Source organism: Homo sapiens, chromosome 16 (assembly GCF_000001405.40).
Source record: "Homo sapiens chromosome 16, GRCh38.p14 Primary Assembly".
Taxonomy (NCBI): Eukaryota; Metazoa; Chordata; class Mammalia; order Primates; family Hominidae; genus Homo; species Homo sapiens.
The window spans coordinates 87,640,578-87,656,089 of NC_000016.10; the positions used below are offsets into that span (position 1 = coordinate 87,640,578).

At 56.0% G+C, this 15,512-nt stretch overlaps 1 protein-coding gene across 2 annotated transcripts in view; it reads left to right on the plus strand.

The window, feature by feature from the left end:
* The window catches only part of JPH3 (junctophilin 3), a 96,322-nt gene that overhangs the window by 38,743 nt on the left and 42,067 nt on the right, over positions 1-15,512 (plus strand). For both annotated transcript variants that reach the window (NR_073379.3, NM_020655.4), the window contains exon 2: positions 3,681-4,458. Coding sequence is in view for 1 of the 2 variants with exons in the window: in NM_020655.4 (NP_065706.2) it covers positions 3,681-4,458 (778 nt within the window). In the remaining variant the exon portion in view is untranslated. The remainder of the gene's footprint in view (positions 1-3,680; positions 4,459-15,512) is intronic.

Sequence of the window (15,512 nt, forward strand, 5' to 3'; positions counted from 1 at the left end):
AGACAGGATTTCACTATGTTGGCCAGCGTGGTCTCTAACTCCTGACTTCAGGTGATCTGCTCGCCTCGGCCTCCCAAAGTGCTGGGATTACAAGCATGAGCCACCCCACCCAGCCAACAAACGCTTTTTAAATATAAGTATGTCCCATGCAGCGTGTCCCCTAAAGAACGATGTGTTGTTCATCTGAAACTCAGATGTTACCAGGCGTCCTGTGTTTGATGTGACAACCCTGTCCACAGCCCTGGCACGGAAGGGGCAGTCGCTGAGGGTGCAGTCTTGGGGTGAGGGTCCCTGTGATGGCAGCCTGTGTCCAGCTTGGACTGGCCATGGGAAGGCCACTGTGTGGGCGGGTCTGGCCTTGGTAAAGGGCCACCCCCTGAGACCCACCGAGCCTAGTTCCAGTTTCCTCCTCACAACCCCAGCCTGGAAGGGCGTTCGGGTGTGGAGCAAGCCACAGGGTTTCCCCCCAGTGTGGTTCGCATTGGGGTGCCGGGTGGTTCCGAGTCAGCTGCCCCCTCTGCCTCCTCCCCGTGCCCATCACAACTGCCCCCAGTGCTGGGACCTCTGGGCAAGAGGCTGAGGCTGACACTCTGGAAAGGTGTGCAGTGGTGTTGTGGGGTCCCTGGGGTCCGGTCCACATACATCCCTGCTTGCCCGGCTCTTGGCATCCTGTAGGAGAAGGTGCCACAGCCTAGTGGGTGGGAGGGCAGGAGCCCCATCACTGGAGTCGGAGGTTGCTTTTGATGTTGATGGCAGTGAGGTTGCTTCTGATGTTGATGGCAGTGAGGTTGTTTCCGACGTTGATGGCAGTGGACTTGCCTCCAGGTTAGCTGCCTCCCCAAGCAGCTTTGGGGGTACAGAATGACCGACCAGTGTGGGATCCCAAACATCCTATCCCCTTGCCTGAAAGTGGGACGAGGCTGAAGCTGACCTCTCGCTGAGACCACCTCATTCGGCCCCGTCCTCTGCTGCCACGTCCTTCTTCCTGGTACCCCCCTTCTCCAGCCCCAAATAAGTCACGTTCACAGGATCCCCAGCTCAGGCTCTGCTCCTGGAGAAGCTGCCCTCAGAGGCTGCGTTGCCGATTCCTTTTTCAACGGAGAGGCTGCAGCGTGTGGCAGGTGCCACCATCTCTTGGAGTGAGGCAGCCTCAGGGGCTCTGTCCGGGGCTGCAGCCTGATTGGTGATCTTTGCACGCCCCTTCTCTGCCCTGGCTGGGCCATATGCCACATGGGGCGTGAGGGGCCTGCAACACAAGTCCCTCTGGGGGCTCGTGATGTGGTTGAGCTGGAAGATACATTCTGGAACATCTAAGACCCCAGCCACTGTCCTGAGTCTGGATGCCGCGGGTGCCGGGCATGGGGGCTCTGGGCCCGGGCCCTGGGGTGCTTGGAGGTGCTGTGGAGGAGGGGTGGGGCTGGCTTGGAGCCCATGGGATTCGATTGGAGGGTGGGAGTGTGAGAGAGGAGAGAGCGTGAACAGAGCCTTGGACAGAAAAGCCTGGAAGGATCAGGACCCTTTGGGGGGTGGCGGGTGAAGGTGGCGGGGTGTGGGGATACCCTGGGGACGGACAGGTCACTTGAGGCTACAGGACTTTGAATTCCACACTTAGTTTGGATCCCACCCTCTGGTGTGGGGCGTGTGAGTGGAGGGGGCCTGGCTAGGGAAAGGGGGGGGGCAGTGGGGAGTGGAGGGCTGCTTCGCTCCGAGAGATGGCGGCACCTGCCACCCGCTGCAGCCTCTCCGTTTAAAAAGTGACTGGCAGAACAGGAGCAGCTGCTGCCAGCTCCTGTCCATTTTGTCCTCTGAAAAGAGAGGTCGGGGTGGCCAGGTCCTCATTTTTCAGGAGACAGAAGAGAGCTGAATTTTTATGTCAAATCTCTTGGTTTTGAGTTGTTAGCAGGTAATTCCAATGTTTTATGAAAACAGCGGTGGGACGAATAAAACCTACGTATCAGTAAGTCTCGGCCTCCAGGCCTCTGGTCTGCAGCCTGTGCCACCGTGAGTTGGAAGAGTGGTGGACGGACTCTGTTCTCCCCGCAAAAGCCCTTTCCAGGGTGGCACATCCACGCCGTTAGTGCCCGGCTGCAGGGAGAAGCTCAAATGACAAATGAGGCTTGAGGTTTGCCGCGTTGGGCGTCGTGCTGAGGCCCAGCCGTCCTCACGGTGACCTTTGGCATGAGGAGTCCTGGTTCCACTCTACAGACGAGGACACTGAGGGCCAGCGGGGCCCAGAAACTTCCCTGAGTCACAGCTCACAGAGCAAGACATGGGCCCAGGTCTGCTGACCGGGTTTCCTTTTTATTTTATTGTGGTAAGAGAAATACAGAATGTACCACGTTAGCTACTTTTAAGTATACAATTCAGTGGTATTAATTACCTTCACGGTGTTAGGTAGCTGTCATCACTGTTTACCTCCAAGGCTTTCCCATCATCCTACTGCAAAACTCTGTCCCTATTCAACACTGACCCCACAACCCTCCCCAGCCCCTGCACCCACCGCGCTTTCTGCATCTCTGAGCGTGACTACTCTAAGGACCCCGTGTACATGGAATCATCCGATATGTGGCCTTTTGTGCCCAGCTCAGTTCACTCTGTGTAATGTCTTCAGCGTTCATCCACATTGCAGCCTGTGTGAGAATGTTCTACCTTTTCAAGGCTGAATGATGTTCCATCGTATGGACGGACCGCATGGCGTCTGTCCATTTACCAGGTGATGGACTTGTGGGTTGCCTTTCCCTTTCCAGCCATGGAAACAGTGCTGCTGAGAACCCAGGTGCACAGGCAGCTGCTGCAGTCCCCACCCTCCCTTCTTCTGGGGATATCAGGTCTGCTGATTTTATGTCTGAAGGTCATGGGCCACTGTCCCTTCCCTATGCCCTTGAATCTCTTCCATGGTGTGTCCACTGTGTGGTCTTCCTGGATACCTCCAGCAATGGGGAGCTCACTGTCTCCCAGAGCAGCCCATTCAGGGCTTAGTGTGTAGCCCACACCTGTGTCCCTGTAGCTGCCACTCATTAGCCTCCTAACCCAGGACGCGTTTCCTTGTGCCCTTGGCAGGGGCTCCGTATTCACTCTGGGTTCTGTGGTCCTCACTCTGCACCACAGACTCTGATGCCTCCCTTCTCCCTCCCCGATTTCCAAGAGAGAACAAGATCTAGCCATGAGAAGCAGGATGGAGGTGTCTTCAAAAACAGCCACTGGTGATAGAAGTTGTAGGAAGGTACCATGGTCTGTCTGCCTCCACGCAAACCTCACCAGGTTTCATCAAGATAGCACACCAGGAGTGGTGTGGCTCATGACTGTAATCACAGCACTTCTGGAGGCTGAGGCAGGATCACTTGAGCCCATGAGTTAGAAACCAGCCTGGCCAACATAATGAGACTGCCATCTCTACAAATAATTTACAAAGTAGTGGAGCATGGTGGTGCACGCCTGTAGTCCCAGCTGCGCAGGAGGCTGAGGCAGGAGGATCGCCTGAGCCCAGGGGTTCCTGGCTGTCGTGAGCTGTGATGGTCTCACTGCACTCCAGCCTGGGCAACACAGCGAGAACCTGTCTCAAAAAACACAAAACAACAGGAAGCTCAGACAGGACTGTGGCTGCTTCAACCCTGTCCGTGGCCAGGCTGTGCCCCCTCCTCTGTCGCTGGGCACTCACCCCTCTCTCATTTTCTCCCCAGGGACCTACCAGGGCCAGTGGGTCGGTGGCATGCGCCAGGGCTACGGCGTCCGGCAGAGCGTCCCGTATGGCATGGCCGCGGTCATCCGCTCACCCCTGAGGACGTCCATCAACTCCCTGCGCAGCGAGCACACCAACGGCACGGCGCTGCATCCCGACGCCTCTCCGGCGGTGGCCGGCAGCCCGGCCGTGTCCCGCGGGGGCTTCGTGCTCGTGGCCCACAGTGACTCCGAGATCCTCAAGAGCAAGAAGAAGGGGCTGTTTCGGCGCTCGCTGCTGAGTGGGCTGAAGCTGCGCAAGTCGGAGTCCAAGAGCAGCCTGGCCAGCCAACGCAGCAAGCAGAGCTCCTTTCGCAGCGAGGCGGGCATGAGCACCGTCAGCTCCACGGCCAGCGACATCCACTCCACCATCAGCCTGGGCGAGGCTGAGGCCGAGCTGGCGGTCATCGAGGACGACATCGACGCCACCACCACCGAGACCTACGTGGGCGAGTGGAAGAACGACAAACGCTCCGGCTTCGGCGTGAGCCAGCGCTCGGACGGGCTCAAGTACGAGGGCGAGTGGGCCAGCAACCGGCGCCATGGCTACGGCTGCATGACCTTCCCGGACGGCACCAAGGAGGAGGGCAAGTACAAGCAGAACATCCTCGTCGGCGGCAAGCGCAAGAACCTCATCCCCCTGCGGGCCAGCAAGATCCGCGAGAAGGTGGACCGCGCCGTTGAGGCCGCTGAGCGGGCCGCCACCATCGCCAAGCAGAAGGCTGAGATCGCGGCTTCCAGGTAGGAGGGCGAGGGGGCGGGGGGCCCTTCTTGGTGCCCAGAAGGTGTTTGTGAGCCCAGTCTGTTCAGTCCTGCTGTCGCTCAAGGCCTTGGGCTAGGCCCAGTTTGAGGCCTACACTGGTGTTTCTCAAACTATGCCCCCATGGAACCCTAGGGTTCCCTGGAGGTTCTCAGAGGTGACTGTGGTCAGGATTGGTGCAGAGGAATGGTTGATTTGTGGGGGTGTAGAGGCCTACAGCCTCCTTAAACTGAGCAGTGTCTCTTTGTTCTATATGCTGATGTTTAGTGTAAAATATTGGTGAATAAAGAAGGTGGTCTGTTCCGTTAGTACAATGCATTGGAGTGCTGCTGTGCTAGCTAGTAGGGGTGACACCACCAGGTGGGGGTGGCAGGTCCAGCACTGCAGGGCTGTGGGAGGTGGCTAGGAGCTGCCTCAGCTACCCAGACCTGCGATCTAGATTCTTCCGGGACCCTGGGAGATGGCAGCAGTTGGGAGGCCAATTCCGAGTGCCTGGCAAGGGGCTCATGCAGGCCTGGTGCTTTGGGGGCAGCCGCTGTTCTGAATCGGCTGCATGACTTACGGAATTTGGGGTCCAGTGGGGCCTCTAGGCCCTAAGGAATGGGTCCAGAGGTGACTGTGGGTGGGATCGACGTGGCTTTTGGGTACCTTTAGGGGTGGGTGCAGGATGGGGCCTTTAGGGCTGGAGGAAGGTGCCCAGGGTCTGGCTCCTGTGGAGGTGAGTGTGTGAGCCAGGGGCTGGTCCCCGCCAAGCTGTGGCTGGCAGGAGCCACCTGCTGCAGGTTGGAGGAAGTTCCCCTGTGGAAAGCCACGGGCCCCACAGGTAGGCATTTGGGTTCTAAAGTAACTGAGGTTACTAAAGGGCTTTGTCAAGACTTGGGAAGGCATTTCAGAAAACCCAGAGCCTTTGCTTTCCACCGGCATTTGCTTTCCTGGGCCAGACGAGGGCCCTTGGGGTAGCCCGGAGAGTCTTGGGGCAGGGATCTGGGAGCTGCGGGGGAGTCCATGGGCTGCCCAGGCAGGAGGCTTCCCAGGGCACGTTCCCCTGCGTCTTTCTGGATGGCTTTGTGTTCTCAGCCAGGGGCAGACCTGGAGTTCCTCCAGGAAAGCTCCCAGCCTGGGTGCGGCTCAGCCCTTCCCGACCTGTCGCTAATTAAAGTTCAGCCCATTTGGTTCTGATTTTCAGTGACCTTTGATCTATAGTGAAAAACAAAAATGGTGGCTGCGGTTTGTTGGCAGAATATGTTGCTCGCGACTTCTATTGTTTTAGAGGGAATCAAGATCGATTCCAAGAAGCTGAAAGAAACATGGAATTACTACCTGACACCGAGGTCCAAACTCGCTGTTTGCCCCTCCCTGCTCCCTCAGAAATGTTCAGGCAGGGAAATAAACAGCAGCCCACGTGTGACTACTCATCTGGGGTTTTAAGAACAAATTAGAATCAGTAGTTATTTTTTCCATCATAAATGTAATACTTGTTCCACAGGAAAATAAATAACACTGAGAAGGGAGAAAGCAGCATTAGCTCTGGTCTGATGGATCGGCCGAGCGCTCTCCTTGGCATTTTGGTGAATTTCTTTCCTCTGTGTTTTGTTTTTCGACCCTTTCTATTTTGTATAGTTGCTTTTTTGACCCTAGTGGACAAGAAGCAGTTTTGGGGGCTGGGGGACAGCGGCGTCACGGAATTGAGGAAGCTCGTGGCAGCTTCCGTGTGACCTGCAGATTGGTTCATGAGTTCATTGGTTCATGAGTTCTCAGCAGCTCGAGGACTTAGTGGACAGTGCCCTGCAGGACTGAGCTTATTTCACAGCCTTGGCACTGGGTGGATGTCTGTAGGACTGGGGGGACCTGCGACCTGAGATAGTTTTCAGACGAATTCCCCTAGACATTAAGAGAAGCGGGTTCCCATTAAGGAGCCCAGGTGGCATGGACAGGGCTGGGGGCAGCACAGGTGAGGAGCTGCTCCAAGGCAGGTTGTCAGCCTCTCTGGACCTCAACTTCTAATCTCTGAAGGCCTGTGAAGCTTAGGTGGTAACAGCTCCCTTCCTGGGGCATCCAACCTCTTCCTGGGGTTTTGGGGGGCCCAGGGGCTCTGTGGAGCATTGCTGGGGGAGATGCCTACGTATAAGTGGGCATCATGCTGGGGTGAAAGCCCAGGGGCTGGGCCGGGAGGGCGAGACCTGAGACCCATGCAAAGGAGCCGGGGCCAGGGTGGGGTGGGCACGGCTCCTACTGAGTCCCCAGCCCTTGGGACGCTGGCCAGCCAGCCTTGGCATGGCCAGCATCCCTGTGTCTCCTGGGGAGGCATTTTACTTAATGGACAGAAGGACAGACAGACGGGTGGAGGGAGTGAGAGGGAAAGGATGGGTTTGCAGGCTGGTGCAGCTGTGAAACTGACGGAGCCCACCCCCTGCCAACCCCCCGACAGCCTTTGAGGCCCAGCAGCCCATGCTCCCTGGCAGGTTGCGGCTTGCCTTCTGCACTGGCGGAGTCCGAGCTGACTCCGTCCCTTCGCCCGAGCGGGCGTCGCGGGGAGGGAGGTGGTTCCTGCTTCCGCATGCGCACAACTGGGGTCTTGGATCGTAGCTCCTTTGTGAGAAAGGGACTGGCTCACCCGCCATGTCCTGCTGTCCACACACACGGCTCTGCACACCACTCACGGCCTCCTCACCGCTGTGCACAGCCAGCACGTCCATGCGCACCTGTGGAGCCAGGGTGTACGGCTGCACAGGTGCGCCTAGGTGGAGGTCTCCAGGTCACTGGAACTTAAAGTGTCCAAGAGAGGAGGTGTCAGGCCTCAAAGGGGCACTAGGAACTGGCGTCTCACCCTTGCCTCTGAGACCCGCAGACCCACATCCAGCCTGGGCTGTCGTGGCTGAGTGCCCCAGGCCGGTCGCCTCCCCTCTCTGGGCTGGGTTCCCTGCTGAAGGGGGGCGGGGCTCCCTGCTCCCTGTAGTGGCCTCGGCGTGGGGCCGGGCCTGTGGTTGCACCATCTCCATTGGTGTCATCCTCCCCCAGCCCTGCTGTGACAGGCATGGGAGGCAGGTGTGTTTGTGAGCTCACTGGTGCGACCCTTGGAGGTGGGAGGCTACACAGTATTTTTGGTCATCAGAGGATGGAGGATGAGCCTGCATTCTGGGCTGCAGGGCCTGGAGCTGTGCTTTCTCAATGGACTTAGAATTTGGGGAAAAAAAAAAGGAAAAAAAGGAGGGAAGAGAGTCTGCCGCCCTGGAGAGTGAAGCTGATGAATGGCTGGCTCAGGCGCCCACAGCCCCAGGGCCAACCCTCCACTGGAGCATGAGAGCGGCCGCACCACGTGGGCTGAGGAGTGACTGGCCCCGGGCGGGCTCCTGCCACTATCACAGTCGAGAGATGCGAGGGAGTTGTAGGGCAGCTGGCACTGTCCTCACCCGCCCCGGCCGGCAGGGCTTGTCAGGCCGCGTGAAGTGAGAAACGGTTTGCGGTGTCCTCCGCGGAGTGCCGGGCCCTTCCCCGGAGAGCAGCTCTGCAGGGAAGGGAAGTGGGTTTTCCTGGAAAACGGGGCGGGAGGTGTGGAGCTCGGAGAGACTGAGGTCCTGCACTGCTAAGGGGACTGGCCCCGGCCCTGGGCTGGGAGAGGGGGAGCTGGGACTCAGCCCAGGGTGGAGTCACCATGGGTTCTAAGGCACAGGATGGATACCCTCCTCGGCCATGTGACATCATTGTTTGGGATGCGCCCAGTGTTCGGAGCCTTCGAGGCTCTCCAGGTGCCTGGAGGGCTTGTAGAAATGGTGGTCAGGCCCCACGCCCCAGACTTTGTCTCATCATGTCTAGGTGGGGGCCCCAGCACCTGCATGCTGACCTGGTCCCCAGGACGCAGATGCTGCTGGCCTGAGCGTCCCCGGCTGTCTCCTGTCTGGTGTGGGTGCTGCCGCCGGGAGGCCTTGGCCCCACGGGGAGATGAGGCATCACACACGCAGCCACAACACGGGTCGGAGGCAGAGTCCAGCCCAGCAAGGGTGTGGCAGTGGAGACGAGGGAGGGGTGAAGCTGGTGGTTCCAGGAGGTTCCGTCTGGGTGAGACCCTCTGCTGCAGAGAGGGGCGGGAGCCAGTGGCCCCGCGGAGCTGAGGTCATGTGAGAAGGGGCTGCAGTCTCTTCTGTGTCATTCTCCTGTGGGGTCAGCCTCACCCCAGTGGGAACTCCCACTAGTGAAAGTCTGAGATGGCCCCATCCTGCCGTGTCGCCTAGCAGTGCACCACAGGGCATTCGGCCCCTCCTGCCTTCACACACTCAAGACGTTTTCATGACTCATCTCCTGCCAGGAGGGCACACACAGGGCACCTTTGCACGGCGCTGCCTGTCCTGAATGCCTCGCTGTCCCCGGGTGGACATAGGAATTCATCACAGTCCTCCTCGAAGCCCGGGTTGCTCTAGAAGATGAAACTCAATTGCTGTCCTTGATCTGCTGCTCACTAGAGGCCCTGGGTTGGGAATCGGAATGTAAATGTGTCACCCATCCTAGAGAAGAAAGTCCTGCAGTGTGACATGGCTTCATTTTCAACAGCTGAGACCCTCTGCCACAACAACTCTCACAGCCCCCTCATCCCCACCCGCCGTGGAAACCAAATAAAAGCAGAAAGCTCTGGTGGAAGCCGAGCTGGGGGCGATGGGGCAGATTGTAGCCCGTTTCTCCTTCCCGTCCCCCTCCCCACTTTGGCCCCTGGGACCTGCTCAGAACCCCAGGGTGAAGGAGACATCTCAAGTGTGACCCATTGGCTGCTTCTGCTGCGGGAGAGGGAGAGACGGGGTGGCCCATGTGAAAGCTATGCCTCCTGCAGCCCCGCAAAGCCTGCAAAAGCTCAGCCAGGATTTGATGGGATTGTTTCTGCTGGGACCCCCTCTCTGCTGCGTCTCGTGCAAACGTTGCTGTGAAGGGATGCCAAGGGGTTTTGCAAAGCAGAAACCCAAGCTGAGAGGAGGAGAAGGGATTGTTCTGGGGGCAGGCCCACCTTGATTCAGGGGGTTTCGCTTCATTGTGCTTTGCAGACGCTGTGTTTTTACACATTGGAGGTTTGTGGCACCCGTGCATGGGGCAAGCCTCTTGGTGCCGTTTTCCCAACAGCACGTGCTCACATCGTGTGTCCGTGCCACACTTTGGTAATTCTCACGGTATTTCAAGCTTTTTCATGATTATATCTGTTCATGGTGATCTGTGATCAGTGGTCTTTGAGGTTACTAGTGTGGTTATTTTGGGATGCCACACATCGCACCCATATAAGACAGTGAACTTAATAAATGCTCTGTGTTCTGACCAATCCTCCAACCAGCCGCTCCCCCATCCCTCTCTCTCCTCTGGTCTCCCTATTCCCTGAGACACAACAGTATTAAAATTAGGCCAGTTAATAACACTCCAATGGTCTCTAAGTGTTCATGTGAAAGAAGAGTCTCACATCTCTCACTTTAAATCAAAAGCTGGAAATGATAAAGCGTAGAGAGGAAGGTGTGTCAAAAGCCGAGACAGGCCTCATGCACCAGGCAGCCTAGTTTTGAATGTAAAGGAAAAGTAATTGAAGAAAATTAAAGTGTTACTCCAGTGAATACATGAATGATAAGGGAGTGAAACAATGTTATTGCTGATATGGAGAAAATTTTAGGGTCTGAAGAGAAGATCAAACTAACCACAAGCCTGATCCAGAGCAAGGCTCAACTCTAATGCTGTGAAGGCTGAGAGAGGTGAGGAAGCTGCAGAAGAGCTGGAAACGAGCAGAGGCTGGTTCATCAGGTTTAAGGAAAGAAGCCGCTTCCAGAACATAAAGTGCAAGGTGAGGGAGCAGGTTACCCAGAAGATCTGGCTAAGATTGTTGATGAAGGTGGCTACACTAAACAGATTTTCAGTGTCGATGGAACAGCTTTCTATTGGAAGGAGATTCCATCTAGGACTTTCATGCTAGGAAGAAGCTAATGGCTGGATTTGAAGGACAGGCTGACTCTCTTGTTAGGGGCCAGCACAGCTGGAAATGTTAACTTGAAGCCAGTGTTCATTGAACATTCCAAAAATCCTAGGGCCCATAAGAATTGTGTAAAATCCACTCTGTGCTCTAGAAATGGAACAACAAAGACCTGGATGGCTGCACGGCTTACAGCATGGTTTCCAGAATAGTTTTAAGCCCAGTGTTGTGATCTACTGCTCAGAAAAAGATTCCTTTTAAAATATTACTACTCACCCCGGAGCGCCCATGGAGATGTACAGGAAGATGAATGTTGTTTGCGTGCCTGCTAACATAACATCCAGCATGCAGCTGTGGATCAAGGACTAATTTTGACTTTGAGGTCTTATTATTTAAGAAATACATTTAGTAAGGCTGCCATAGATAGTGATTTCTCTGATGGATCTGGGCAAAGTCCATTGAAAACCTTCTGGAAAGGATTCACCATTCTAGATCCCATTAAGAACATTCGTGATTCAAGGTTGGAGGTCAAAACATCCACATTAACAAGAATTTAGAAGAAGTTGATTCCAGCCCTCATGGACGGCTTTAGGGGCTCAAGACTTCAGTGGAGGAAGGACTGCAGATGTGGTGGAAATAGCAAGAGAACTGGAATTAGAAGCGGAGCCTGCCGATGGGACTGCATTGCTGCAAGCTCACGACCACACTCGAAAGACTGAGGAGTTGCTGCTTAGGGGTGAAACGAGAAAATGGTTTCTTGCGATGGAATCTACTCCTGGCGAAGATGCTGCAGACATTGTTGAAGTGACAGCAAAGATTTAGAATGTTCCTTCAATTTAGTTGATAAAACAGCAGCAGAGTTTGAGGGGATTGACTCCAGTTTCCAATGAAGCTCTACCGTGAGTCAAATGCTATCAAATAGCATCACATGCTACAGAGAAATCTTTTGTGAAAGGAAGAGTTCATTGATGCAGCCAACATTGTTGTCGTTTTTTTTTTGTTTTGTTTTGAGATGGAGTCTCGCTCTGTTGCCCAGGCTGGAGTGCAGTGGCACGATCTTGGCTCACTGCAAGCTCCGCCTCCCAGGTTCACGCCATTCTCCTGCCTCAGCCTCCCAAGTAGCTGGGACTACAGGCGCCCACCACCGTGCCCAGCTAATTTTTTTGTATTTTTAGTAGAGATGGGGTTTCACCGTATTAGCTAGGATGGTCTCGATCTCCTGACCTCGAGATCCGCCCACCTCGGCCTCCCAAAATGCTGGGATTACAGGCGTGAGCCACCGCGCCCAGCCTGTTAGAAGTTGCCGCCTCAGCCTTCGGCACTCACCACGCTGATCACCCACAGCCAAGCCAAGATCCTCCATTGAAGGCTCAGATTATTGTTCACATTTTTTAGCAACAAAGTATTTTAAAATTAAGATTTGCAATTTTTTAAGATATAATGCTATAGCACGCTTAATAGACTACAATATAGTAGAAACATAACTTTTTTCTTTTTCGTGACAGGGTCTTACTCTGCCGTCCAGGCCGGAGCGCAGTGGTGCCATCACGACTCACTGCAACCTTCACGTCCCGGGCTCAAGTGATCCTCCTGCTTCCGCCTTCCGAGTAGCGTGTGGGGAGGGTGCACGCAGCTGGGCTAGGATGGCCTGGCTGGGGTCAGCCCCCGTCTGTCCTGGAGGCCAGGCAGGTGCGGAGCTTACGGAGGTGGCCACCTAGATGATGGTGCCTACTCTCGTGAGTTGAGGCCCTTGGATCTCTGGCAGTCAGCAGGACTGTGGTGGCAGCCGGTGTGCTGGTTGTCAGCTGATGTCCCTGTCTGTGATTTTTCCGTGTGAATGCAGCCTTGACTGGGCATGTAGATCAGAGGTGACAAGTCCTGGGCACCTCTGCCACTCTTCTTCCTGCCCTGCACCCACTACAGACACAGCTAATTGGTGGCTGCGTTGAGAATCTTGTCACCAGGCAGGCTCTTCTGTCGGCTCAGGACTGTCCTGCGGGCATAGCAGGAAGTGAACTGCAGGGGGAAGTTGGGGCCTGGTTGCTGAGGAGGGCAGTGCGTGGTCTCCAAGCCAGTCAGTGCCTGCGGGGGGGACTAGAATTCTCACCCAGGCCTCTGCTCTCAGTCCTGTTCCTCCTCTCACATTCTTCACACCCAGGCTGGGCTCAGGGATCCTTGTTGATGATGGCCTTGAAATGTCCTCTGAACAGTGTGGCTCTGGGGGTGTGTAAAACCCAGGGTGATGCCTGCTCTGAAAGGGGCTTCCAGATCCCTTTGTGTCTCCAGCACCTGCCGTGTGCCTGCCCCAAGCTGGGGTCTGTGAGCTGTGCCTTGGGGCCCCTGCCTGTCCCCGCTCTGCTCTCTGCTGTGGCTTGCTGGCTGCAGGGTTCTCCAGTGAGTGAGGGATCCCTGCTGGCCATGCCTGGAGCTGAGGGTGGAGGGAGGCCCAGCAGGAAGCCCCACAGGTAGGCCCCAGTGAGGGTGCATTATCTACAGGAAAGTTGCCTGGGACACTCTAGTGGGCCGTCTAGGAAATGCAGCCTTTAAGGACCTGAAATGGAGGGGGATATTTTTAGTTTTTAAAATTTATTTCTCATTAAAATTATAACACAGCCTCGTAAAAATATTAAAACAGCGAGACAGATGTGTCAGGGGTTATGTATATGAAGGAGGTAGCACAGTTCTCATCACGGGTGTGCTTAGTGTCCCCCTAAAGTTCATGCCAGTTAATGTGATCGTGACTGTAATTGGAAATAGGGTCGTTGCAGATATAATTAAGATGAGGTCCTTCTGGAGTCGAGTGGGACTGGTGTCCTTAGAGGAGAAGAGACACGGACACACAGAATGCCACGTGGGACAGAGGCCTGCTGTCTACACCTGTGCAGAGGAGACAACAAGGAGAGTGGGGCATGACCCCTGCCCACGACACTCGCCTCCAGGAAGGCAGCCAGCTGCCCATCTTTGGTGCGGTCATCTCTGCAGGCAACAGAATGGCAGAGTGGCAGTCTGATCACTCTACTCCATTGTGTGAGAGTCTCCAGGATGAAGACCAGGCTCCCCAGCAGGACGTGCGGCCCTCATGGAGTTCTGGCCTTGTTTTCGGCTGTTGCCTGGCTGATATTCTGCACATCTGCCCACCGTCCTCTGGGCGGTCCACGAATACATTGTGCCTTCCTCTTTGCATATGCTGGTCCCTCTGCTGGCAATGCCCTTCCTTCTTGGTGAGCTCCAATGCATCCCTCAAGACTCAGTTCAGATGCGCCTCTCTGGACTCATCCCCAACTCCCAGACGGGGTTGGCTGCTCCCTTTTTTCAGATCCTGAAACACTTACTTGTCCCCCTTTATGTGGGCATTTATCTGATAGTAGAGTTTTTCTGTACTGTTGGAATGGTGAGTTCCCTGAAGCTAGGTCAGCTTCCTTCTCAGCATTCAGCAGGCGGTGGGGGAGGAGGGAAGGAGAGGAACTTCCTAATAAAGATGAACACCTCTTTGTGGTTAGGTCAGACCAGCCTGTGCCTGTGCGACCTGGTGCAGACCTTCACCTCTCAGAGCCTCGGTTTCCTCATCTGAGCCTCAGGCACGACAATCTGCTAGACTCTGCTTCCCGGTGGCAGCTGGGGAATGGGATGGGAAGGAGCCCTGGGATGCTCAGGTCATCCCTGCCACCAGAATGTCCCCAGAGTCATGACCATCAGCACCTCAGCCTCGCTGCTTTTTCCTTGGGGTCTGCAGGGGCAGGACGCAAACCCCACACGCTCGCTGCGCAGTAAGCTGCAGGGGCTTCTCCAGCAGCACCTCTGAGGCCTGCCTACCACGTGGAGATGCTGCTCCCGTGGGCTCTGACCACCGCTCTGCCCTCTTCTCACAGGAACCAGCGACCACTCGGCCCGGCGTAACCACGCATGTCCACTGGTCACCTGGTGGCCTTCGACAAGAACGTGTGATAAATCCCTGCCGGAGTGCGGCTCCGGGAAAACGCTGTCACCGCAAACCAGCTCCTCTTTGTTGCAGTCCCCCGGGGGCATGGCCCGGCAAGTTTCCTTAGCCAGGGGCCAGTTTGCCTGGGGTCAGTGGGCAGCGCCTGGGAGTCGAGTGTCTCGAGTGGGGCTCTGCTTGGTTTCTCCTTGAAGGTCTGGCAGGGTCAGACCCTGCATCGGCAGTAACCGCGGAGATGGGAGAGCCGAGTCTGCCGCTGTGGGCTTCCTGGGCCTTCCCGCCACCCCCGCCAGGGCCCTTGGGCTGCATATTCGAGGCGCGCAGCCTGCCAGGCCCTCCGGCCTCCCTGCGTGGCCACCAGGGAAAATGGCTTCACTTTGCTGAGCCTCTGTCTCCCTGGTTACAAAACAAATAATTTTATTTTTTGTGACAGGGTGTTATTTTTTGTGACAGGGTGTTGTTCTGCTCTGTCCCCCGGGCTGGAGTGCAGTGGTACGATCATAGCCCACTGCAGCCTCGATCTCCTGAGCTCAAACGATCCTCCCACCTCAGCCTCCTGAGTAGCTGGGACCGCAGCCGTGCACCACCACGCCCAGCTAACATTTTTATGTCTTGTAGAGATGGGGTCTCACTGTGTTGACCAGGCTGGTCTCCAACTCCTGGCCTCAAAAATTCTCCTGCCTCAGCCTCCCAAAGTGCTGGGATTACAGGCGTGAGCCACTATGCCTGGCCAATAATGTTCTATTTTAATTTCCTGTATTCCCTAAATAGTCATAACCGTTTCCAAGGGCGATATTCAGAACACGTAATGAGTGCAGTGCAGGCACCAGCCCACGTCTCGGCCCCCCGTGTGGGGAACCAGTCTGGCCATCTCATGGTCCCTGCGTCTGCTCTGCCCACCTCGTAGGAGGCTCTGGATTGAATGAGGTTCGACAGTGCTGACTGTGAGCCTGGCCCTGAGTCCGCTCAGGGGTCTCACTTGCCACTCTGCTGCTGTCACTGCGCCGTTCCCTTTGCCCACATGCCCTCCTGGTCTCTGCATAGATGTCCTGAGTGGGACTGCTGGGAGTGGGGCACTGCTGCGTGGCAGTGGAGCCTCGATAGTGGGTCTCTTGGGGGATTATTGGCAAGCTGCACCCCTTGAAAGTTAACCGATCGGGGTGCATGGC